The sequence below is a fragment of the Homo sapiens genome, chromosome 16 (genome assembly GCF_000001405.40).
Source record: "Homo sapiens chromosome 16, GRCh38.p14 Primary Assembly".
NCBI lineage: Eukaryota > Metazoa > Chordata > Mammalia > Primates > Hominidae > Homo > Homo sapiens.
The window spans coordinates 21,681,569-21,704,694 of record NC_000016.10 but is presented as its reverse complement, the minus strand read 5'-3'; the positions used below and the strand labels follow the sequence as shown (position 1 = coordinate 21,704,694).

Genomic DNA, 23,126 nt, shown 5'->3' with positions numbered 1-23,126 from the left:
TTTGGTTTTCCATTGCGCATGGGCAAACAGACCCAGTTTGGTTCCATAACAGAGCGCTGAGAGCTGGTGGACACGACACCCCCTCCCCAGTCCAAACCAATGGGGTCTTGATTATATTAATAGCAGCTACCACTTATCAGGTCTTGCACTGAGCCGTTTACCTGCATTATCTCATTACAGCAACCCTACAAGGCAGGTGCTCTCATTAGCCCCATTTCACAGATGGGGAAACTGAGATTTGATTTGTCCAAGGCAAGTCGGTGGAGCTGGGACTTAAATGTAGATCCATCCACCTATGCCATCTCTCCACCTGGGATGAATAAAGGGAATAAGGAAAGAAAGGTGCCGGTAGCCACAGAAAACTCCCCATTTTCCACATTACAATCACTAAATTCTAGAGCTGATCTCACCCTGAGGGATTCTCTGAGGCAGAGATCTGTTTCTAGGATGCCTTCTGGTACCCACCCAGATGATGCAAAGATTTCAGAAGGAAAACAAAAAAGACTGGAGGAAAACAATGGAAGGGCAGAAGTGAGATTGGAACCCTGGTATAACTGAGAGCAATGTTTCTAATCATTAAGAGCATTGATTCAGGCCTACTGCAGTTTGAAGCCCAGCTCTGTGAGATGTTTGCTCTCCACCAAGTTACTTAACTTCTCTGTGAGGCCGCTATACACAGTTCTGCAGTGCACACTCTGTACTCCCATACTGTACAGAGACAGGGTGCCTCTCCCTCTCTGAGCCTCTAATAAATGGGAGGTTTTCTTTGTTCATCGTAGCACATCATAATAAACATGAGTGAAAGAAAGAGGATGATTGTGAAAGTTAAATGAGAAGTGGTATACCAACTGATTTGCATACATCCTGGTGGAAACCAAGCACTCATTCATTAATGAATGCTCTTAGAGTTAGAATGAAGACTACCTAGTTGACCACAGTCAGCCTGGCTCCACCCTCTCAGAGCGATATTGACATATTCAGACATGCCCACAGGAGAGCTGCCAGGTCCAGGGAAAAGATTTGAAAGTGTGTCTCATGAGGAAAAGAGATCTGCTTAACTTCGAGTAAAGAAGACTCAGGGGAAGTGAGGGCTGAACGTTAATAACCACGTTGAGAATAACTATTCACAACAGCCAAGACATGGAATCATCCTAAGTGTCCAACACGTCAGTGGATGAATGGATTTTTTTTTTAATTTGGTGGATACACAATGGAATGCTCTTCAGCTTTGAAAAAGAAGGAAATTCTATCATATGGGACCCCATGGATGAACTTGGAGGATCTTATGCTAAGTGCAATAAGCTAGGCACAGAAAGACAAATACTGTATGACCTCATTTATATTATGAATCTGAAAAACAAATAAACAAACGTCATACTCATGGAAGCAGAGCCTTAGAATGGTTGGTACCAGGGGCTGGAGGTGGGAAGGGAGTTGGAGAGACTTGGACAAAGGACACAATGTTTCAGTTAAATAGGAAAATAGGTTCTGGAGATCTATTGTACATGCTGACTACAGTTAATAACAATGTATCATATACTCAAAAATTGCTAAGAGTAGATTTTAAGTGTTCTCACCGCAAAAAAAGTATGTGAGGTAATGATAACTTAATTAGCTTGATTTAGCCATTCCACAATGAATATATATCTCAAAACATGTTGCACACCATAGATATAATTTTTATTTATCAATTTAAAAAAATAAATTATAAAAGAAAAATAGGCTTGGCGTGGTAGTTCATGCCTCTAATCCCAGCACTTTGGGAGGCCGAGGCGGGCGGATCACAAGGTCAAGAGATCAAGACCATCCTGGCCAACATGGTGAAACCCCGTCTCTACTAAAAATACAGAAATTAGCTGGGCGTGGTGGCGTGTGCCTGTAGTCCCAGCTACTTGGGAGGCTGAGGCAGGAGAATCACTTGAACCCAGGAGGCAGAGGTTGCAGTAAGCCGAGATTGTGCTACTGCACTCCAGCCTGGCGACAGAGTGAGACTCCGTCTCAATAAATAAATAAATAAAAAGAAAAAATATTATTCATTGAGCACTTACTATGTGTCAAGTGTGCAAATCCCTACAAAGACCTTAATGCAGTAGGCATATTTTTATCTCCCATTTTACAGATGGGGAAGCGGAAGTATAGAGAGGTGATGTAAAAATAGCAAAGATCACACCATTAGTAAGCAGCAGGGAAGGATTAAGCCACGAAGTCTGGCTCGAGGTCCCATGTTCTTAATCATGAGGCTATTTTTGTGTGTGTGAAACCATAGAAAAATGAGACACATGCTAATAAGTGAAAATTACTAAAGGTAGGTGAAACAGATGTAATTGTTTCCTATGAGTACATTCCCTAAGAGTGGCTCATTTGAAAAACCTTAAGGTAATATGGGATGGGAGCAGTGTGGCAATAATAAGACCTTGAGAGACGGACACAAGAGGATTGAATGATGGCCCAGCACAGTGGCTCACGCCTGTAATCTCAGCACTTTGGAAGTCCAAGATGGGTGGATCACTTGAGGTCAGGAGTTTGAGACCAGCCTGGCCAACATGGCGAAACCCAGTCTCCACTAAAAATACAAAAATTAGCTGGGTGTGGTGGCACACGCCTGTAATCCCAGCTACTTGGGAGGCTGAGGCAGGAGGATCTCTTGAATCTGGAGGTGGAGGTTGTAGTGAGCTGGTATTGCACCACTGCCCTCCAGCCTGGACAACAAAGTGAGACTCTGTCTCAAAAAAAAAAAAAAAAAAAACAGGATTGAATGGGCCAGGCGTGGTGGCTCATGCCTGTAATCCCAGCAGTTTGGGAGGCCAAGGCAGGCAGACCACCTGAGGTCAGCAGTTCAAGAGGTCAGGAGTTTGAGACCAGCCTGACCAACATGGCAAAACCCCATCTCTACTGAAAATACAAAAAATTTAGCTGGGCATGGTGGCACACATCTGTAGTCCCAGCTACTCTGGAGGCTGAGGCATGAGGATTGCTTGAACCCAGGAGGTGGAGGTTGCAGTGAGCCAAGGTCACATCACTGCACTCCAGCCTGGGTGACAGGACAAGACTCTGTCTCAAAAAAATAAATAAATAAAAGGAAAAGGAGGGAGTATTGAGCTGTACTCACCACCTCCTTCCCATTGCCCACTCCCTTCCTGACACCCCTGGAATGTAGAGTTCCTGTCCCTCCTCCCCTGCTGGGAATGGTTTTAGGGAGGATCACATTACAGTCACTAAATTCTAGAGCTGATCTCATCCAGGGGCTCCCCAGCTAAGAGTCTGATAACAAGCGGTTCTCATATATGGGGACCCATGAGTTATTTCCAACACTTGACTCAACTTAAACGGAAATCACACATTCACTTTGGAACAGGACCCAGTCCTGAGTATTTAAAATGTTTCATTTCTGTGCTGAGAGACAGAATTAGCACTTGATAAGGTTGCATAAAATGCCTGGCACACAGGAGATGCTCAGAAAGCATTTATCCTTTCACCCAGCTTCATAACCTCTTCATAAAAAAAGTTGCAGACACCTCTCCTCACATGCACAGAGAAATATGGGACTATTCAAAGAGATGGACCAGCCACCTCCCTTCCCTCCCTGGGTGTTTTGCTGCTCAGAGAATTCTGATGCTTAGATCACATCTTGGGAAAGGGCTCCAAGGCCCAGAGCTCATGCGCTTGCCTGTGGATGGTGGAGGTATTCCTCATGTTAAAGTTGGAGGAGCTGATCCTCTCCAGAAACGCCTGGGCCAGCTCAGGTGTGATGTCATAGACCATGTCCAGCTGCTTGGTGGCGTTGTCATAGCTGATAAACAGCCCAATCTAGTTGGTGGACAAGGACGAGAATATCAGTGAGGAGGGTGGAAGTGGCCCAGTGTGGCCCCACCCTGGTGGTCTGCACTGTGCCCCATCATGGACACTTGGATACACCTCCTGGTTCTCATTGTCATTGATGTCTTTTTTTCTTTTCTTTTTTTTTTTTTTTGAGATGGAGTCTCACTCTGTCGCCCAGGCTGGAGTGCAGTGACATGATCTCAGTTCACTGCAACCTCCACCTCCTGAGTTCAAGCAATTCTCCTGCCTCAGCCTCCGGAGTAGCTGGGACTACAGGTGCCCACCACCACGCTTGGCTAATATTTGTATTTTTAGTAGATATGGGGATTCACCATGTTGTCCAGGCTGGTCTCGAACTCCCAGCATCAAGTGATCCACCCGCCTCGGCCTCCCAAAGTGCTGGGATTACAGGCGTAAGCCACCATGCCTGGCCTCATTGTCATTGATTTCTTAGTGGTCTGTAACTGCTACTTTAGTTTCCTCCTCAACCTAACTATTCTTTAGGAAAGAATTATTTTTTAATATCTGAGAAACTGGGCTTTTTAAAAGCTAATCTTTGCACATTTATTTCTAGATTTGTTATATGGAGGTCAGAGAATGTGGTCCACAAACTTTCTGCTTTGAAGAATCAGAATTTTTTTAATAGATGAATGAGTTTATAAATGGCCCTTGGGTGATGGAAAAGAGTATGTGTTCTCTTTGTAAGACACAAAGTTTGGTGCATATATATTCAACTTATTAAATATACTATTCAGATTCCCAACATTCTTGTTCCTTTTTGGCCCACATGTCCAAGGGTGCCACGTGCAAGTCTTCTACTACTACAGGACTCATATCTATCTATTCTTCCTTGTATTTCTAGCAGATTATAAATTATATATATAATTTTGGGGGGACACTGACTCACTCTTTTTATTTTATTTTTGTTTTTATTTTTATTTTTATTTTTATTTTTTTGAGATGGAGTCTCGCTCTGTCACCCAGGCTGGAGTGCAGTGGCACAATCTCAGCTCACTGCAACTTCAGCCTCCCGGGTTCAAGTGATACTCCTGCCTCAGCCTCCTGAGTAGCTGGGATTACAGGCATGTGCAAACATGCCCGGCTAATTTTTGTATTTTTAGTAGAGACGGGGTTTCGCCATGTTGGCCAGGCTGGTCTTGAACACCTGACCTCACATGATCCACCCGCCTCAGCCTCCCAAAGTGCTGGGAGTAGAGGCGTGAGCCACTGCGCCCGGCCAAGACACAGTCTCACTCTTTTACCCAGGCTTGGGTGCAGTGGTGTGATCATGGCTTATTGCAGCCTCGACCTCCTGGGCTCAAGTGATCCTCCCACCTCAGCCTCCCAAGTAGCTGAGACCTCAGGCACACACCACTACACCTGGCTAATTTTTAAATTTTTTTGTAGAGATGAGGTTTCACTATGTTGCCCAGGCTGGTCTTGCACTTCTGGGCTCAAGTGATCCTCCCGCCTTGGCCTCCCAAAGTGCTGGGATTACTGGCATGGGCCACGGCAGCCGGCACATTCTATATTTTGAGACAGTATTATGCTGTGCTCAAAGGGGCTCATAAAGTTGTCTCTCCTTTGTGGATCGTACTCTTTGTCCATATAAAATTCCTTTTTAGGCTGGGTGCGGTGTCTCACACCTGTAATACCAGCACTTTGGGAGGCTGAGGCAAGGCAGATCACCTGAGGTCAAGAGTTCAAGACCAGCCTGGCCAACATGGTGAAACCTCGTCTCTGCTAAAAATATAAAAATTAGCCAGGCATGGTGGCATGTGCCTGTAATCCCAGCTACTCAAGAGGCTGAGGCAGGAGAATCAATTGAATCTGGGAGAAGGAGGTTGCAGTGAGCTGAGATCACGCCACTGCACTTTAGCCTGGACGACAGAACGAGACTCCATTTCATAAATAAACAAATAAAATAAAATAAAATTCCCTTTTAGCAGTGTTATTCTTGACTTCTCCCTTCTCTACATTTTTAGCGAATAAAAAGTTGCAAATGAGTGCTTGACCTTAGAAATTTCCTCTAGGGGGCTCAGCTTTCTAAGAATTTAAGCTGTTACCTACTCAAAGCAACTCTACATTGAGAGAGTAAATGGCAGTGGGGTGCGGGGTTAATTCTAGGACTGCGGGTTATAAAAATCGGAAGACACTTGAAATACTCCCAGCCCCCTAGGTAAAAGAGAGAAAGCTCGTTCTGCCTCTGGTTTCATAATAACCACACATTGCTGGGTCAATGGGTCCTTGAACAGGCCAGTCATTTGATGCAAACACTTCTCTCACTGGCCAGAAGAGTCAGGGCACATATGACTTAAAAAAGAAGAAGAAGAAGAAGAAAAATTGGAAGCAAGGCCCACAGTCTCTTCATGAATCCCTTTGTGTTGGCAGCATTCTTTGGAGACCGCATTCAAGAATCATGATGCCCAAGGGATTTTAGTGTCATTGGGTCAACATCAAAAGGAGAGGGACAGGTTGACTAGTGAGTTAAGTAATCCTAGAATGTGTGTATTTCTCCACTGTAAACTCTAGAATTAAAATCTAACCATTGCTCATGCTCAAGTAGCTATTAACAGAAGTAGCTATAAATAGAAGTAGCTATTAATCCATTTTGCTTTTGCTTTGAGTTCATGATCCCAAGGATGGGAAACTTTATATCTTTTGTCCTTGGCCTTCTCCAGTACAAAAATACCCTTAAATGATTTTTGGTTCATAGCCAACAATCCCTTTAAATCATGTTTGCTCACATCAGAGATGTGATCTTAGTTGTCCACAATTCTTTTTCTTTTCTTAGCCCTTCCACACTAAAACAATCCCATGACTGCCCACTTGAAACTTTCTTCCAATAGTTTTCTTCAGAGGCCCAAGGTCTATTGGGCTGAGGAGGGTACACAATTTCCAAGGCACCTTGACTGGCTGGATGAACATTAGAGTTTGAGAATACACCTTACCCCAAGTGTATTAGTAATGGTGACATATAAATGTACTTTTCCAACTTACTTCTATAGGACTAATTTTCGTAATTTCTTCAAACGATAGGTGAACCATGTATCTGCCCAAAACCCATAAGTGTTCCGCACTGACCCATGAAGCAGAGTCATCTACAAAAAATAAAGAAATGAATAAATGAGTACATACATAAATAAAAGCCTTTACACTGGTATGTGATAGTCAACAGCATCTTTGCTGTCAAGACCTACTTCTTGCATTCATTAATTCGTTATTTTGTTTTTCGGGGTTTTTTGAGACAGAATCTCACTCTGTTGCCTAGGTTGGAGTGCAGTGGTGTGATCTCAGCTCATCTCAACCTCCGCCTGCCGGTTCAAGCGATTCTCCTGCCTCAGTCTCCCAAGTAGCTGGGATTACAGGCACCCACCACCATGCCCAGCTAATTTTTGTATTTTTAGTAGAGACAGAGTTTCACCATGTTGGTCAGGCTGGTCTCAAACTCCTGACCTCAGGTGATCTGCCCGCCTCTTGCCTCCCCAAGTGCTGGGATTACAGGCATGAGCCACCATGCCCAGCCACATTAATTTGTTATTAACTCATTCAACAATCATATACGTAGGGCCTACCTGTGAGATCACACGTAGGATGTGAACACAGATTCGCACCACCTCAGACCTTGTTACTCAATAGTGTGGTCTTTGGAATTGCAACATCTGTGTCACCTGGCCACTTGTTAGAAATACAGATTATTCTTTCTGGCCAGGCACCTGTAATCTCAGCATTTTGGGAGGCTGAGGCAGGAGGATTGCTTGAGGCCAGGAGTTTGAGACCAGCCTGAGCAATATATCAAGACCCTCATCGCTACAAAAAAAAAAAAAAAAAAAAAAAAGCCAGCTGTAGTCCCAGCTACTCAGGAAACTGAGAAGGGAGGATTGCTTGAAACCAGGAATTTGAGGCTACAGCTCACTCTACTGCACTCCAGCCTGGGCAACAGAGTGAGACCCTGTCTCTTTAAAAAAGTAATAATAATTAAAAATAAATAAATAAATAAGAAATGCAGGTTATTTTTAATACTTAAAACCCACAAAATGTAGTTTTATTTTTTCATTCGATTGGTTACTAAATAATCTGGAAACATGAGGCCAGATGTGGTGGCTCACACCTGTAATCACGAAATCCCGTCTCTACTAAAAATACAAAGAAAAATTAGCCAGGTGTAATCCCAGCTACTTGGGAGGCTGAGGCAGGAGAATCTCTTGAGCCCGGGAGGTGGAGGTGGCAGTGAGCCGGGATCACATCACTGCATTCCAGCCTAGGTGACAGAGCGAGACTCTGTCTAATAATAATAATAATGATAATAATCTGGCAACATGAAATATGTTTGACTGTCTTGCATCACTACCACTAGTAAGGATCATCCTCACTGATTATCACCATGTTACTATACTTGAACCAAAGCAAACTACTTGTACCTCCCCAAAACATTCTCCAAATCTTGGCTGGCCTTGGCCCTGCTCACCACCTACAATGCTTTTCCTTACCCCTTCTGCATCCAAATCCTACTTTAAGATCAAGCTCAAATTTTCCTCTCCCTTAAAGCCTTCTCTTATCTCCTTCACGAGAAGTACTTTCTCCCTCCACTGAATTCCCAGAGGACTCTCTCTGACACCCCGTTCTGGCTTTTGAAATTCCCCATCACTGAGATGTCAGTGGAATTTTAAAAACCATCAAGTCAGCCAGGTGCGGTGGCTCAAGCCTGTAATCCCAGAACTTTGGGAGGCCGAGGCAGGTGGATCACAAGGTCAGGAGATCGAGAGCATACTGGTCAACATGGCGAAACCCCATCTCTAATAAAACTACAAAAATTAGCCAGGCGTGGTAGCGCACGCCTGTAGTCCCAGCTACTCAGGAAGCTGAGGCAGGAGAATCACTTGAACCCGGGAGGCAGAAGTTGCAGTGAGCTGAGATCATACCACTGCACTCCAGCCTGAGTGACAGAGCCAGACTCCATCTCAGAAAAAAAAAAAAAAAAAAATATATATATATATATATATATATATCTCAAGTCTAGGATCAGACTTCAAGTTTCACTGAGCTGGAAGTGGCTGCCAATGCTCCCCAGCTCTTTAGCAAAAGACATTTACACACGATATTGTATTGGAGGCATTTGGGGAAAATGAAGGAAGTGGGGAGCATTTACAGGGTGCAGTGACTCTAACATCAAGAGCTATTTGCAGAAGCCGTGGGCAATGACAGATGCCAAAACAAGATGGAGAAATCAACTTTTATATAGACTGATTCACAAGAAAATATGGAGTGCCTCTCCCAAACCAGGAATCAAAGATGTTGGGGTGACACAGGCAGACTCCTACGATCCTCTAGATGGGGACCCTGGACATTTGCCTTGCCTATATAGAGGGCTGGAAACTTTTGAGGCTAGAACCACACATTCACAAAGAACCAAGCTTAGTTGTTTATTTTTTAACTTATTACTAAGCATAAACTGTATTTCTGTAGATCAATCATCCCCAAGCTTGGGATTTTTTTTTTTCTTCCTCTGTTGTCCAGGCTGGAGTGCAGTTGGATGATCATAGCTCACTGAAGCCTCAAACTCCTGCCTCAGCCTCCCTAGTAGCTAGGACTACAGGCACACATCACCACATCAGGCTAATCTTTTAATTTTTTTGTATGGGGGGGGGGGGTCTCACTACATTGCCCAGGCTGGCCTTGAACTCCTGGCCTCAAGCAATCCTCCTTCCTCAGCCTTCCAAAATGCTAGGATTAGAGGTGTAAGCGACCACACCTGGCCAGCAAGGTTGGGATATTTTTAACAGCCAAAGTATTTCCAGTTCCCTCAAGGGCCTTCATGAAAAAACAATTTAAGTCCAAACAGAATTAATTTTAACTCACTGTAGTTTAATAATGAAGCGCACCGTATAAGAATTTTAGAAGGAAAGTCTGTGCCTAATTAAACTCTGGCAATAAAGACAGAGAAGTCTGAAGGTAGAGAGGCTTTCTCATGGTTACCCAGTGTGAGACTCTGATTCCTGGAGACCACAATTATGCACCAGGCAGAGGGAATTCTACTATGCATTTGAGACTTTGATTATGATGTTGTTTAATGTTCATTATGCACAAATCTCAGAGCTGAATTCCAGGAAAAGATTGATTGGCATTCCCCATCCTCCAGCCCCATCTGCTTTCCTTATGTTTTCCCCACACCGAGCTCATTCCCATCTCAGGGCCTTTGTATTTCCTGGGATTTCTCTCTGGGATGCCCTTTCTCCAGAGCCTTACGTGACTGGTTCCATCTCCTCATTTTGGTCTTGATTCAAATGTCACCCACTTGAGAGGTCTTCCCTGATTCCTTAGTCCAAGAGTTGGCAAACTACAATCCATGGGGCAAACTCAGCCCATCACCTGTTTTTATACAGCCCATGAGCCAAAAGTGGTTTTTACATTTATTATTTTGGACTTTTTTTTAGAGACAAGGTCTCGCTCTGTCACCCAGGCTGGAGTCCAGTGGCTCCATCACGGCTCACTGCAGTCTCAAACTCCTAGGTTCAAGGGATCCTCCCCCCCTCAGCCTCCAGGGTAGCTGGGACTACAGGCATGTACCAGGACACCGGCTATTTTTTAAAAAATTTTTTAAGAAATGGGGTCTTGCTATGTTGCCCAGGCTGGTCTTGAACTTTTGGCTTCAAGTAATCCTCCTGCCTGGGCCTCCCAAAGTGCTGGGATTACAAGCATGAGCCACTGCACCCTGCCTGCTTTTTACCTTTTTTAATAGCTGAAAGGAAAATCAAAAGAAGAATCCTATTTGGTGACACATGAAAATTATGCAAATTTCAGCATCCATTAGTAAAGCTTTACTGGGACACAGGCATGCTCATTCATCTATTGTCTACAGCTGTCTTCAAGCTGCAGTGTCAGAGCTGAATAGTTGAGGCAGAGATGGTAGGCTTACAAAGCCTAAAATATTTACCTGGTCCTTTACAGAAAACATTTGCCAAGCGCTCTTCTAGTCTAAAGTACCTGTAATATCCTTTCTGCCTGGGTGCAGTGGTTTATGCCTGTAATCCCAGCACTTTGGGAGGCCAAGCCAGGTGGATCTGTTGAGGTCAGGAGTTTGAGACCAGCCTGGCCAACATGGAGGAATCACATCTCTACTAAAAATACAAAAATCAGCTGGACATGGTGGCAGGCACCTATACTCTCAGCTATTCAGGAGCTGAGAGAATCACTTGAACTCTGGAGGCAGAGGTTGCAGTGAGCCGAGATTGTGCCACTGCACTCCAGCCTGGGTGACAGAGTAAGACTCCGTCTCAACAAACTATTTTATTTTCTTCATAGCCGCTACCAGTATCTAAATTTCTAAGTTCTCTCTCTCTCTTTATTTACTTACATGTTTAAAAAAATTGTCTCCACCAACACTCCCACAATAAAACAATAGGGCCGTAAGAGCAGAGACTTTGTTTTGTTTCCTTCTCTATCTTCAGCTATTGATACATAATGGGCTTTTAAAAAGTTTATTCTGTTTACATTACTGACATTAAAGGTTTAACAAATTGAAGCTATCTGAGAAATTGTTTGTATTGCTAATCTATATAGCCATTCTTTTCTATCGCTGTTTTGTTTGTTTGTTTGTTTGTTTGCTTGTTTTGCGACAAGGTCTCACTACATCACTCAGGCTGGAATGCAGTGGCACAATCCCAGCTCACTGCAAGTTCTGCCTCCCGGGCTCAAGTGATTCTCCCACCTCAGCCTCCTGAGTAGCTGGGACCACAGGCGCACGCCACCACACCTGGCTTTTGTTTTTTTGTTTGTTTGTTTTGGTAAAGACAGAGTTTTGCCATGTTGGCCAGGCTGGTCTCAAACTCCTAACCTCAAGTGATCTGCCCGTCTCAGCCTCCCAAAGTGCTGGGATTACAGGTGTAAGCCACCGCACTTGGCCCCAATTTTCTTTTCTTTTCTTTCTTTCTTTTTTTTTTTTTTTTTTGAGACAGAGTCTCACTCTGTCACCCAGGATGCAGTGCAATTGCATGATCTCAGTTCACTGTAACCTCCACCTCCTGGGTTCAAGTGATTCTCCTGCCTCTGCCTCCCAAATAGCTGGGATTACAGACATGAACCACCACGCCAGGCTAATTTTTTGTATTTTTAGTAGAGAAGGGGGTTCACCATGTTGGCCAGGCTGGTCTCGAACTCCTGACCTCAGTTGATCTGCCTGACTCAGCCTCCCAAAGTGCTGGATTGTAGGCATGAGCCACCATGCCCGGCCCACCTGGCCCCATTTTTAAGTGTAGAGTTGAGCGGGAGTAAGTACATTCACATCCACACTATTGTGCAACCGTCACTACCAGCCATATCCAGAATATTTTGAACCTTGCAAAATCGAAACTGTACCACCATTCTAATTTCTGTCTCTATGAATTTGACTGCTCTAGGACACAAGGAGGCTTTAAGCAACATCCATCAAATAAATAAATCCTGACCTACCTGCTTTGGTAGCCAGGACGCTCAGAGTTAAATTTCTGTGTTTTATTGCCTAGATTTCCTAATAAAATTCTCTTCTGTCTCTCTCTCTTTTTTTTTTTTTCGAGACGGAGTCTCGCTCTGTCACCCAGGCCGGAGTGCAGTGGTGCAATCTCAGCTCACTGCAATCTCTGCCTCCCCAGTTGAAGCGATTCTCCTGCCTCAACCTCCTGAGTAGCTGGGATTACAGGTGCCCGCCACCACGCCCGGTTAATCTTTGTATTTTTAGTAGAGATGTGGTTTCACCATGTCGGTCAGGCTGGTCTCAAACTCCTGACCTCCGGCAATCCTCCTGCCTTGGCCTCCCAAAGTGCTGGGATTACAGGCGTGAGCCACCACGCCCAGCCTCTTCTCTCATTTTAATATAGATTTTTTTATACAGATTTTGAACTTGTACCCCTACTCAAGGTTCACATTGAATCTAAGTTACCATCATTATTTATATTCCACTGAAAAACTAGGACACAACATAGATTATGAAATACAAACACATCATTATTTCAGACTTCCACATGTGCGAATTGCATTGACGAAATGGAGTATGTGTTTTACTCCATAAGCCACATCAAACTGTTTTTCGAAGCAGTGGGAGGTGGTAAAAATCAGAAGAGAACAACATCAAATCCATGTTTTCAGAGATGAAACACCTCTTCTGAAGATATTCTTCCCCCAAAAAGTGACCCCACCTCCAAGTACAGGCTCACCAGTGGCATTGGAGGATGTCTGCAGTATTCCAGTCATCCAGGAATAGAGAGCTCTCTGGGAATGAGCCGAGGTTTTGTCGTAGAGATCTTTGAACACTGCAGATCTAAATGACACAAACACAGGCATCAGCTAATAACAAGCAGGTGGGGGCTGCATTAAAAAGGGAGTCACAACAGCAAATGTGACCCAAAGCTGTCTTGTGTTAAAACCCTTCCCTCTCCTGGATGTGGAGAAATAGAAACGCTTTTACACTGTTGGTTGGAATGTAAATTGATTCAACCATTGTGGAAGACAGCGTGGTGATTCCTCAAGAATCTAGGACTAGAATTACCATTTGACCCAGCAATCCCATTTCTGGGTATGTACCCAAAGGATTATAAATCATGCTACTATAAAGACACATGCACACGTATGTTTATTGTGGCACTATTCACAATAGCAAAGACTTGGAACCAACCCAAATGTCCTCCAATGATGGACTGGATTAAGAAAATGTGACACATATACACCATGGAATACTATGCAGCCCTAAAAAAGGATGAGTTCGTGTCCTTTGCAGGGACATGGATGAAGCTGGAAACCACCATTCTCAGCAAACTATCACAAGGACAGAAAACCAAACACCGCATGTTCTCACTCATAGGTGGGAATTGAACAATGAGATCACTTGGGCACAGCAAGGGGAACATCACACACCGGGGCCTGTTGGGGGGTGGGGGGAGGGGGTGGGGATAGCATTAGGAGATATACCTAATGTAAATGATGAGTTGATGGGTGCAGCAAACCAACATGGCACATGTATACCTATGTATCAAACCTGCACGTTGTGCACATGTACCCTAGAACTTAAAGTATATTTAAAAAAAAAAAACCTTCCCTTTCTTGAATGTAAATTGGTTCAACCATTGTGGAAGACAGTGTAGCGATTCCTCAGAGATCTAGAACTAGAAATACCATTTGACCCAGCAATCCCATTATCGGGTATATACCCAAAAATATATAAATCATTCTGTCACAAAGATAAATGCACACATGATCATTGCAGCACTAATCACAATAGTAAAGACATGTAGTCAACCCAAATGCCCATCAATAATAGACTGGATAAAGAAAATGTGGTACATATATACCATGGAATACTATGCAGCCATAAAAATGAACAAGATTATGTCTTTTGCAGGGACATGAATGGACCTGGAAGCCATTATCCTCAGCAAACTAACGCAGGAACAGAAAATGAAACACCCCATGTTCTCACTTGTAAGTGGAAGCTGAACGATGAGATCACATGGACACAGGGAGGGGAACAACACACACTGGGTCCTATTGTGGGGGTGGGGTGGGGGAGGGAGAGCATTAGGAAAAATATCTAATGCATGCTGGGCTTGATACCTAGGTGGTGGGTTGATAGGTACAGCAAACCACCATGGTACACGTTTACCTATGTAACAAACCTGCACATCCTGCACGTGTACCCCAGAACTTAAAAACAAAAAATACCCCCAAACACACTCCTTAGGTATATGTAACTATTTTTCCCATTTTCCTCTTCCCCTTCACAGCTAAACACCTTCCAAAGAATATTCCATACATATTGTCTCCACTTCCTCACCTCTTGGTCCTTTTTTGGGGAAGTGGGGGCAGCTCTGTTGAGATATAATTCCCACACCTTACAATTCACCCATTTAAAGTACACAATTGGGCCGGGTGCAGTGGCTCACACCTGTAATCCCAGCACTTTGGGAAGCCAAGGCAGGCGGATCACCTGAGGTCAGGAGTTTGAGACCAGCCTGACCAATATGATGAAACTCTGTCTCTACTAAAAATACAAAAAGTAGCCAGGCGTGGTGGCATGCACCTGTAATCCCAGCTACTTGGGAGGCTGAGACAGGAGAATCACTTGAACCTGGGAGGTGGAGGTTGCAGTGAGCCGAGATGGGGCCATTGCACTCCAGCCTGGGCAACAAGAGTGAAACTCTGTCTCAAAAAAAAAAAAATTACATAAATAAAGTGCACAATTCAGTGGTTTTCAGCATATAAGACAAAGAGCCAAAGATGTTTCTGATGGCATCATTTGAGTCTCTGGATCCAGCTGCGTCTGAAGTCAGCCCTACACCTAAAACTATTCAATTACATGTTCCAATAATTCCCTTTTTGCTTCAAGCCAGTTTGAATGGGTTTTTCTGCCACTTGGGCTTACTGCTTACTCAGGTGAGCAGTAACCAATAAACTCTCTCTCCCAATGATGTTCTCTTCCACAATCTGCATGAACGGAGGAGGGAAGAGATGCTGAATTTAAAAGGAATAGTATAATAGCCTGCAGAGCAAAAGGGTTTCATTTATATACATCTTAGTGAAAAAAACTGGCAACCTAGAGAAACGATGAGGTCAGCATACTGTCTGTTTTCCTTACTGTCATTTGGCTACAAAAGATAAAAGGAATCTCCCACATTGTTATCATCATATTGGTCTTTTCCTTCTTCTAAATCATTTTTAGATTTAGAAAGAGTGCTTTATGGCCATAAAGCACTACGATTAGTAAAAGGAGGGAGTTGGCGGTGGTTGCAATGCCTATGGCCCTTCAAGTCCTAGACACAATCCTCGAATTTGGTTTACATCAAAGCGCAATTTCATGCAGGGCTAGGTGTAACCAATCTAAGCTGGCATGGCATCTCAAAAGGAGAAGTCCTCCTTTTTCAGTGCTCTGTCACTCCTTCTGTTGTCCCTCAAGAACAAAGTCTCAGTTTAGTGCCAGTGAATCTTTAAAACACACTCAGATTGTTTTTAAATCAATGGAACAAGACCCAGGCTCAGAGCCTTTGTGCTGTGGACTGAATGTTTGCGTTTCCCCAAATTTCATGTGTTGAAATCCTAATTCCCAACATGAAGGTATTAAGAGGTGGAGTTTTGAGGAGGTGATTAGGTCATGAGGCTGGATACCTCATGAATGGGATTAGTGCCCTTATAAAAGAGATCCCAGAGGGCTTGCCCACCCCTTCCACCACAAGGGGACACAGCGAGAAGGTGCCACCTATAAACCAGAAAGCGAGCCCTCACCAGACACCAAGTCTGTCAGCACCTTGATCTTGGACTTCCCAGCCTCCAGAACCATGAGAAATAAATGCTTCTTGTTTACTAGCCACACAGTCTATGGTATTTTTGTTACAGCAGCCCAATCTGACTAACACACTTAAGCAAGCAACATATCTAGCTAGGATTTAGTAACACTTTTTTTCCCACTGTATTTATTTATGTGGGTTTTTTTGTTTTTGTTTTTTGTTTGTTTGTTTTTGTTTTTGAGATGGAGTCTCACTCTGTCGCCCAGGTTGGAGTGCAGTGGCATGATCCCAGCTCACTGCAACCTCCACCTCCCAGGTTCAAGCAATTCTCCTGCCTCAAGCCTCCCAAGTAGCTGAGATTACAGGCGCCCACCACCATGCCCAACTAATTTTTGTATTTTTAGTAGAGACGTGGTTTCATTATGTTGGCCAGGCTGGTCTCGAACTGCTGACATCATGATCCACCCACCTCTGCTTCCCAAAGTGCTGGGATCACAGGTGTGAGCTACCACACCCAGCCTAACTCTACAGATGTTAAGCTTTTGCTCCAAAACGTGCATATCAACCTGTCCCCACTTGTCTTCTCCCTGCTGCCAGGTGAGATCTCTTTGCATTCTCACGGCAGCCCCTGAAGGATACTGTGATGAGTTAAGAAGGTGGGAGTGGCTGGGTGCAGTGGCTCATGCCCGTAATCCAAGCACTTTGGGAGGCCAAGGCAGGTGGATCACTTGATGTCAGGAGTTCGAAACCAGCCTGGCCAACATGGTGAAACTCCATCTGTACAAAAATACAAAAATTAGTCGGGTGTGGTAGGCGCCCCTGTAGTCCCAGCTACTTGGAATTGAGGCAGGAGAATCACTTGAACCTGGGAGGCAGAGGTTGCAGTGAGCCGAGACTGCACCACTGCACTCCAACCTGGGCGACAGAGTGAAACTCCATCTCAAAAAAAAAAAAAAAAAAGTTCGGAGGAACCACTCACAGGTTCTTAAAGGCATCCTCGCGCAGGTCCCGAGGGAGCCGCTCTGTGATGTCTGGCTGGAGAAAGCTCCCTGAGGACCCCCTCAGCACCTTGCCCAGGATCTCCACACACTCCAGGGAGTTCAGCATCTGGAAACACCTCTCCAGTGTGATGAGAAACAGGCTGCGGTTCACGCCAGGGCTCTGCAAGGCTCGTTCTCGAATCTCTCCTAAGTCGATGATGATGTCTTTCAGGTCCTAAAGCAATGACAGAAGCCAGGGTCAGTTTGAGAGCTGCCTCTCAATTTGGAAGCCCTGGGAGGGACCACACATTGCAACAGTGGGGAAAGTCAGGATCACTGTTTAACACCATGCTGCTATGTTGAAACTTCTAGAACTTTCCATTCCCTGCAGAACAAAGTCAAGGCCTTTACCTGCTCCACTCACTGTGGAGCCTCCCCACTCTCCAGATACACCTGACCAGCATACATCAGGCCCTTGGTCTACCTGGAATTCTGCATCTTTCCTTTTTCTGGTGAAATCTAGCTCATCCTTTAAGTCTGGGCTCCATTGCCATCACCTTCGTGAAGTCTCTGATCCCTCCAACTTCCTACTTCAGATCAGATTTCCCTCCCTTATGTGGCCCCAGGGCATCTTGAACCAAACTCTATAATGCATTAAAGGGACTCATGCGTCTTTCCTCCAAGCCCGTGGTTCTCATCTCTGGGTGCACATCAGAATCACCTGGGGAGCTTTTTTAAAGTTTTATTTTATTTTTGAGACAGGGTCTCGCTCTGTCACCCAGTCCGCAGTGCAGTGGTGTGATTATAGCTCACTGCAGCCTCAACCTCCTGGGATTGAGCGATCCTCCCACCTCAGCCTCCCAAGTAGCTGGGACTACAGGCACACACCACCATGCTCAGCTGTTTTTTGTAGAGATGGAGTTTTGCCATGTTGTCCAGGCTGGTCTCAAACTACTGGGCTCAAGCAATCTGCCCACAACCTCCCAAAGTGCTAGGGTTACAGGTATGAGCCACCATGCCCAGCCCATCTGGGGAGATTTTGAAAAGGACTGATTGGCCTGGAACAGTGGCTCACATCTATAACCCCAGCATGTTGGGAGGCTGAGGCAGGTTGATCGCTTGAGCCTAGGAGTTTGAGACCAGCCTAGGCAACACAGGGAGACCCCGTCCCTAAAAAATAAATTTTTTAAAATTAGCTGGGTGTGCTAATGCGCACCTGTAGTCCTAGCTGCTTGAGAGGCTGAGGTGGGAGGATCACTTGGGCTCAGGATATCAAGGCTGCAGTGAGCTATAATTATACCACTGCACTCCAGCCTGGATGACAGAGCAAGCCCCTGTCTCTAAGAAAAAAAAAAAAAGCCTCCATTTTACTGAGCATTGACTCTACTGTGCCAAGCTTGGAGCAAACGCATCATCTGATTAATTCTCATGACAATCCTACCGGTTAAGCCCCATGGGTACTAGGGTCAGGCATTCCCAGGTTCCAGTCCCAGGGCCTCCATTATCTGTGTGTCCTGAGCAAATGACTTACCTTTTTTAAGTCCCAGTTTTTAAGGTCTCAGAGGCCTTGCTTTGTGATATTCTTGGATCACTAAACTCATTTTGTGGAAATTAACTGTTCCTGTTTTTTGTCTCCCCTCCAGACCGTGAGCTCCTTGAGTGCAGGAGGATCTCTGTGTCCACTGGTGCATAGTAATTTTTACTAGTGGATGTTTATTGACCCAAACAACCAGGAGATTCTCAGATCCTTAATTAGGACCCGTCATTTCTTAGTACTGACAAAAATATGAATTAGGCCAGGCATGGTGGCTCACACCTGTAATCCCAGCACTTTGGGATGCCGAGGCAGGCAAATCACTTGAGGCCAGGAGTTTGAGACCAGCCTGGCAAAATCTCGTCTCTACTAAAAATACAAAAATTAGCCAGGCATGGTGGTGCACACTTGTAATCCCAGCTACTTGGGAGGCTGAGGCACAAGAATCACTTAAACCCAGGAGGCAGAAGTTACAGTGAGCTGAGATTGTGCCACTGCACTCCAGCCTGAGTGACAGAGTGAGACTCTAAAACAAAAATAAAATAAAAAATTGTAAGGCTCTTCATTTTAACTTTGGAGAAAGTAAGTGAGAAAACTTAGGTCCTAAAGCCCCCAGGGGGTTGGAGGAGGCAGAAGGAGAGAGGAAGAGACAATGAAGTGCCAAGGCCTAAGTCAGGCTCCATTTATTCAATTCAACAAACACCACGTGGTGCTGGACTTCCTCTATCCCCGGGATGCCAAGGGCTCCTCACCAAGCCGTCCTTCTTGTCTTCTAAGAGGCATTTCATGGCAGTGCGGAACTGCTGGGCGTCTGTCTTCCTCAGGTCCTCCAGCAGCTTCTGGGGCTGGTGCAGACGCTGCTCCAGGTGGTTTTCCACGGCTGCCTGTATTTGGGGTGTTGGGAGAGTCGGTGAGAACAGAAAGAGCAGGAGCACATGGTCAGCACCATGGCCAGCGGCCCAGCCCGGCCCCCTCATTCCCTGCAGAGACCACAACTAGTGGCCAGCAGTCTGGTTTGGCCACCTCCAAATTTCCTCATTAGCCGCCAACATTTAAAAATGAGGGGCCGGGCGCGGTGGCTCATGCCTGTAATCCCAGCACTTTGGGAGGCCGAGGCGGGTGGATCACGAGGTGAAGAGATCAAGACCATCCTGGCCAACATGGTGAAACCCCGTCTCTACTAAAAATACAAAAATTAGCTGGGTGTGGTGGCGCACGCCTGTAGTCCCAGCTACTTGGGAGGCTGAGGCAGGAGAATCGCTTAAACCCGGGAGGCGGAGGTTGCAGTGAGCCGAGATCACGCCACTGCACTCCAGCCTGGTGACAGAGCGAGACTCCACCTAAAAAATAATAATAATAATAATAATAATAATAATAATAATAATAATAATAAGGGGATTCCTCACAAGATCAAGATTTCCAACTTCTCTTGAAAAAGTAAAGGTTTGGCAACACCGGGCGCACATCCCCTTTTAGGCAATAATTGGCAAGCCAAGGGACAGCTGCTTGTTGAAGTAACTCTCAGGCCCAGCCAGCCCGATTCCCCCATTCCATGGCCTGCCTGGTCCCTGTAGGTGATTGAGTTTCCCATCAGCAGCAGCTGGCCTTTGTCCAGGAAGTTTAGAACCCCAGATGGCACTGTGCCCAAACCCAAGCTACCAGCGCAGGAGCAAAATACAGGCGAAATGAACATACTCTGTGGCGCCCCCTACAGGGCAAGGAGCAGAAGCCATCAGCCTCTCCTGAAAGAGATTTCCTCTGCTGTCTGGGGAATTGTTCTCTAAATCTCCGTTAAACAGACATGCCCAGTGTGATGTCATGGGCAAAAGGTGAACTCTAGACCCAGACAAGCCACATGCAAATCCCCACCTTGACACTTACTAGCTGTGTGGCTTGGACGAGTTACTTAACTAGGGTTGCTGGGTAAAATACAGGATGCTCAGTTAAATTTGAATTTCGGGAAAAACTACACATTTTTTTTTTTTTAGTATAAGTATGTCTCAAATGTTGCATAGGACATACTTAACTTAAAAAATCACTCATTGTTTGCCAGGCAAGGTGGCCCACACCTGTAATCCCAGCACTTTGGGAGGCCAAGACAGGCGGATCATGAGGTCAGGAGTTTGAGACCAGCCTGGCCAACATAGTGAAACCCCATCTCTACTAAAAATACACAAATTAGCCAGGCATGATGGCATGCACCTGTAGTCCCAGCTACTCAGGAGGCTGAGGCAGGAGAATTGCTTGAACCTGGGAGGAGGAGGTTGTGGTGAGCTGAGGTGGCACCACTGCACTCCAGCCTGGGCAACAGAGCAAGACTCTGTCTCAAAAAAAAAAAAAATCACTCATTATTTATCTGAAATTCAAACGAAATTGGACATCTGTTTTTTGTTTTTGTTTTTGTTTTAGAGACGGGGTCTTGCTCTGTTGCCCAGGCTGAAATGCAGTGGTATGATCATAGCTCACCGTAACCTCAAACTCCTGGGCTCAAGCAATCCTCCTGCCTCAGCCTTCCAAGTAGCTGGGACTACAGGCCACACCACCACACTCAGCTAATTTTTTGTTTGTTTGTTTGTTTGTTTTTGTAGAGACAAGGTCTCGCTATGTTGGCAAGGCTTGTCTCCAACTCCTGGTATCAAGCAATCCTCCCACCTATGCCTCTCAAAGTGCTGGGATTACAGGCATGAGCCACCACGCAGAGTCACATCTGTATTTTTATTTGCTAAATCAGCAACATTTCTTCTGGGCCTCAGTTTTCTTATCTGCAAAATGGAGGCAATAAAAGGACTTACCACATAGAGTTATTACGAGGATTCAGTGTGTAAAGTGTTTTCAATAGTTGCTAGCACACAGTAAGTGCTCAATAGTGCCAGCTATTATTCTCTATCTTGACCAAGGTGAATAATGGCTTAATTAAAGCCTCACCCCTAAAATGAAAGGTCCTTGTGGGTAGTATCATGACTGCCTTGTTCCCTACTGAGTCCTCAGTGTCTAGAGCTATGCCTGGCAGAAAGCAGATGTTAACTCAGTAGATATTAAATGAATAAATAAATATGGTATATACACAGGAAGAAACGTATCAGATTAAAGTGGATACATCTCATGAGTATCCATTACTGCTAGAGAGAAAAGTGGCAAGCATTGCTTCTCTTTCAGTTTCCCTGACTGATGAAGAAGAAAAGAAAAGCAGATGCCATGTGGGGCCAACAGCCACCTCCAGCTAGTGGCTGTCCTGGGACCTGGCAGACAACAAGCTCTCTGAGTATATTTGTGATATCAATGTTGGTTGATGTTTCCATTTTCATTCAAACATAAGTAAAAATGGAAACAATGAAGACATATGTCAGAACTTTATTCATTAATTAATGACATAAATGGTCTTTTGCTAAACTGAATAACTTTCTCAATACTGAAAGAATTTTTCTCCAATTTTCTGTGTTATCCACAGTGTGATGATAAAGACACAACATGCCACACTAGGCTAACAGTCAGGCAGGTGCTGTGCAGTTCACCGCAGTCACCACCACAGGCACGAGCCCTATTGCCCCTTAAGGCAAATATCCTTTGCCACCTATCAACACGCTTGTGCTATTGTTTTCATTACAGTAGTACATTTCTTGGACCCATGGTAGAAAGACTGATCACTATATCCAAATATCCACTCTCTCACTGCTCTTTATCAATTGAACCCTTCAACTTTTAGTTGGGTACATGGCTCCTTTGCAGTAAGATGTGACTATGGTGTGTGAGCCAATCTAATGTGTGCAGAGGGAATTGTGTAACTTGCGTCATATCCTCAGAAGAGAAGATGCTACCCTTGTCTTCTTCTTCCCACCCATCCCCTGGATTGGAGAAAGGAAGAGGTGTTTCCACCACATGGGCAATAACTCCCCAGGAGATGACAAAGCAAAAAGATAAAAGGAACCTGGGTCCTTGGATAACCTCATGGAATAGAGCTGCCTTTTCTCTGTGGCTTTCCCACTTAGCTCTGGACTATTGTACGAGAAAGAAATAAACTAAATTGTTTGAGCTGCTGTCATCTGGGGGTCTTTTTGTTATAGCAGCTCAGCCTATATCCTAATATACCATGTCTCCATCAAAGGTGGGAAAATGAAAGAAAGACAAAATAGCTTATATCATGTTTCAAGAAAAACTGGACAGAACCCTTTTCCTTGCAGAAGCAAAGACTATCTCTACATCCAGCCCACTTCTCCAACTTACCTGGCCCCTGAGTTTGCAATCCCTGAGCACTGAGATGGGAACATATAGATGGGTCTCAGGTACACACCTGCAGGCTGGGGATGGTGAAGGCAACATTCCGGGAATTCAGATAGGCCAGGACTCTGTGGGACAGGTCATCCGTCCACACGTGGGAGCTTCAGTTGAAGACAGACAGGAAAAGATCACAATGACAGATTCTCCTACAAGCACTACTGTACTAGCTAAGTGCCCAGGGGACAGGTAGGGATGGACCAGGGGTGTTAGGACTTTGTACTTGGAAGTGGGAGGTTTCTCTTTTCTTTTCTTTCCTTTTTTCTTTTCTCT

The 23,126-nt window shown here is 44.9% G+C and overlaps 1 protein-coding gene across 2 annotated transcripts in view, besides 1 other annotated feature; it reads right to left on the bottom strand.

The window, feature by feature from the left end:
* Positions 1-23,126, bottom strand: part of OTOA (otoancorin) — a 96,762-nt gene that overhangs the window by 56,035 nt on the left and 17,601 nt on the right. The window contains exons 6-11 of one of the 2 annotated variants that reach the window (NM_144672.4): positions 22,870-22,957; positions 19,334-19,465; positions 17,047-17,282; positions 13,008-13,111; positions 6,820-6,920; positions 3,668-3,807 (exon numbers count right to left, since the gene is read on the bottom strand). In NM_144672.4, coding sequence (NP_653273.3) covers positions 3,668-3,807; positions 6,820-6,920; positions 13,008-13,111; positions 17,047-17,282; positions 19,334-19,465; positions 22,870-22,957 — 801 coding nt within the window. Of the gene's footprint in view, positions 1-3,667; positions 3,808-6,819; positions 6,921-13,007; positions 13,112-17,046; positions 17,283-19,333; positions 19,466-20,142; positions 20,267-22,869; positions 22,958-23,126 lie in introns of those variants that run through there. The other variant, NM_001161683.2, reaches the window with a different exon arrangement.
* Positions 644-733: an enhancer, noted in NCBI's record as "active region_10560". NCBI's record gives its function as "activates an Ori minimal core promoter by ATAC-STARR-seq in GM12878 lymphoblastoid cells {active_cell/tissue: GM12878}" and the evidence as "EXISTENCE:reporter gene assay evidence [ECO:0000049][PMID:35858748]".